Source organism: Homo sapiens, chromosome 1 (genome assembly GCF_000001405.40).
Source record: "Homo sapiens chromosome 1, GRCh38.p14 Primary Assembly".
In the NCBI taxonomy this organism is placed as follows: domain Eukaryota; kingdom Metazoa; phylum Chordata; class Mammalia; order Primates; family Hominidae; genus Homo; species Homo sapiens.
The window spans coordinates 5,450,348-5,453,393 of record NC_000001.11 but is presented as its reverse complement, the minus strand read 5'-3'; the positions used below and the strand labels follow the sequence as shown (position 1 = coordinate 5,453,393).

The 3,046-nt window shown below is 48.5% G+C and overlaps 2 annotated features.

Moving 5' to 3' along the window:
• Nucleotides 1,127-1,964: an enhancer, noted in NCBI's record as "H3K4me1 hESC enhancer chr1:5511490-5512327 (GRCh37/hg19 assembly coordinates)". NCBI's record gives its function as "activates a minimal SCP1, AML or CMV promoter by ChIP-STARR-seq in primed H9 embryonic stem cells {active_cell/tissue: H9 hESC(primed)}" and the evidence as "EXISTENCE:reporter gene assay evidence [ECO:0000049][PMID:30033119]".
• Nucleotides 1,965-2,803: an enhancer, noted in NCBI's record as "H3K4me1 hESC enhancer chr1:5510651-5511489 (GRCh37/hg19 assembly coordinates)". NCBI's record gives its function as "activates a minimal SCP1, AML or CMV promoter by ChIP-STARR-seq in primed H9 embryonic stem cells {active_cell/tissue: H9 hESC(primed)}" and the evidence as "EXISTENCE:reporter gene assay evidence [ECO:0000049][PMID:30033119]".

The following is a 3,046-nucleotide window of genomic DNA, read 5'->3' as shown; positions in this document are numbered from 1 at the left end:
TACTTGTAATTTTCCCACCACCTGGGGAAGACTTTGGTAGAAGGATTGCATTATGATGATGATTATTATTTTGTAAACTTGGGAGAGATGTACAGTGATGATTGAGAAACAAAAGGATGAAATGTTTAACTTAGCAGGAGAAAGTTTAAGATTTGTTTTCCTTCCAGCTCCACAACGTGGAGAGCTCCACATTGACTGCAATCCATTCCCAGGATTTATTTACAGAGCTTCCTTGAGGAGAGGGGACGTAGCAGCTTCTCCGCTTCTGTGACCCTGAGGGCTTCCAGGTGATCTGTGCTTCCTCCTGGCATTTCCAGCTGCCCTTCAGAGGGAGCTCAGCTGCTCTGCACCGGAGTTTCATTAGACCTTCAAGTTGAGAGGTGATTAAACAGATATTATTATAATTATTCTGTTTCCAGAAATATCAAGAGAACTAGCTCTCAAAATTTCTCTTCTCATGTTTAATGAAGGGCTAATGTCCCTTGGATCTGTTTTCCTGAAGGCCTATTGGGAGTCCGTCCCTAAAGCCAGTGACCCTTCATGCTGGTTCACTGAGAATTATCTAGGTTTTGGCAATGCCAGTCCCACATGCCAGGAAACCCCTTAGTCCCAGGCAAATCGTAATGGTTGGCCGCTCTAGCCCAGACTCACACAGGCCTCTTTATGAGGAAGAGAGAGAGAGAGAGGAATAAAATAAAATAAAATTCCATCTGAATGGACTTCCTCCTTAGCCAGGGCTCTTATAAAATTTAACCTGAGCGACTGTTTCAGGCCATGACAGCAAGTGGAGGTTGAACATGCCTCATGATACCTCTCTGGCGTGAACACCGACACAGACTTTAAGTCTGATAAGAAACATTTTACAGCCTATTCCCTCTGAAGCCTAGTACTTGAAGGTTCCCTCTGCAAATAACAACTTGCATCTCTCAAGCCTTTATCTTAACCTAGACATTACTTTCTATTGAGTTTCTCTAGAGAAGCTCAACTAATTGTCAACCAGAAAATTTTAAAATCTACCTATAAGCCGGAAGCCCCCGCTTTGAGTTGTCCCGCCTTTCTGGGCCAAACCTACGTATTTTTTTAAATGTATTTGATTGAAGTCTCATGTCTCCCTAAAATGTATAAAACCAAGCAGCACCCAGACCACCTTGGGCACCTGTTCCCAGGACCTCCTGAGGGCTGTGTCACAGGCCGTGGTCACTTATATTTGGCTCAGAATAAATCTCTTCAAATATTTTACAGTTTGACCCTTTTCGTCAATGGGGGGGTGGGGAGAGAGAGAGAGAATGACTTATAGATAGTTCTCTTGCTGTAGGACTTTCTCCTTAGTTCAGGTAAAAGCCAGGTTCTTGTCACATAGCTGTTAAATATTAGGCTCACAGACACATTAAAGGGTGATAAAAATGGAATTTATTGTGCAAAAAGTAAAAACAAGGGAAAGAGGGAGTCTCAGCAAAGCCAGAGTCCTGCTAGCTGGTTCCGCCTCGCAGATTGAATCCCAGGTGCTACCCAGGAAGAGGAGGGGCTTGGCTCCTCCTGTCGCAAATGGCTCGAACTTCCGGAGGTTCCACCCCAGTGTGCGCTCCTCCCAGTGTGCAGGCCGGTCACAGGTTCTCCGGGGGCTCCTTTAAACTCGCTGTCTCACTCTGACACCAGGCACAGGCAGCAGGGAAGGAAGGCAGGGCTGAGGGGCCGCAGAAAGCCCCCCACCGCCCACTCCTATCTGAAATGCATCCACGGAACAGCCAAGCATCCTTCAAGTAAAAATACACATTTTAAAGAACTCGGGTTTTGTAGGGACTCATGGGTAAAGAAAGCAAGGGCGGAGTGTGTGGCCAGGGTCATCCAAAGTGGTAGGTTTAGGTTTAAATATCAGGAGATTCACTGAAAAGTGGCCTCTCAGCTCAGACCCCAGTCCCCATGAAAGCCGTCCACCTAGTGTTGTAGGGCTTTCCCCTTAGGGTCCTTGTCACACACCAGGAAAGATTAGCTTGCAGACACTTTGAAGGGTGAGAAACATGGAATGTACTGGGTGAAAAGGAAAAAAAAGGAAACAGGGAGTCCCAGCAAAGCAAGGGTCCTGCTAGCTGGCTTCCCGCCTCACAGATTGAATCTCCAGTGACAAACCCCGAACAGGAGAGGCCAGGCTGCTCCCCACTGCAAACGGCATGCACTCTGCCCAGCACACAGGCTGGTTGGAGGTTCTCCGGGGACCCCTTTAGACCTGGCTGTCTCAGTAGGATTGCATCACCCACGGGCAAAGGAGCTGCTGGGCCTGGACCCCTGTTCTCCTAACTGTCCTTGGTGTCTTCTGGAAACCTGAGGCTTTTCTTCTGGCCCAGGCGCACATGCTGCCCCTGGGCTGTGCTGTCTGACCCTCGGGGCAGGTTGGGATCAGGTGTCATTTTCCCTCCCCAACACCCCCATGCTGTGCCCTCAGCAATCCTTTACAATGATCCCAGGTCAACATGAGCTCATCTGCCAAAGAAATGTGCCCCGCAGCACGCTCTGAAGATGGTCCGTTTGCGTTTATCTGAATTCTTCAGTGGCATTGAACAAGTGACTCTGATGCACTCCCAGAGACTCCAGAGAAGTTGGCGGATTTGTGTTGTCATTTATGGGGGCTAGCCCCCATTTTTGTGTTGTCATTTATGGGGGCTGAGACGTATTGGGAGAACTGGCTGCAAACAGGCGAGCCAGGAACTGCTGGGCAAACCAGGCTGAGGTGGTCGCTCCATGAAATTCCTGATTACTCTTACAGATGAAGAAACAGATGGTCAGAGAAGTCTCCAGCTATCTGACTCTCAAACTTGTGCTCCTTCCAGTGTCCCTTGGCTGAGGGGACTAGACATCACCTTGTGAGTATCAGGACAATGGGTATTCTTTGAATCCAGACAGAGGTCTGGGCACAAGACCATAGGTGTGTTAGGCTGGGAAGTAGGTGGCAGGTGTGTGGAGGTGGTCACATGGCCAAGCGCCCCATACTCTTGCCACATGGCTGGTTTTGTTCTTAACCATTGCCAGGTCTTGTCTATATATTTGGGCA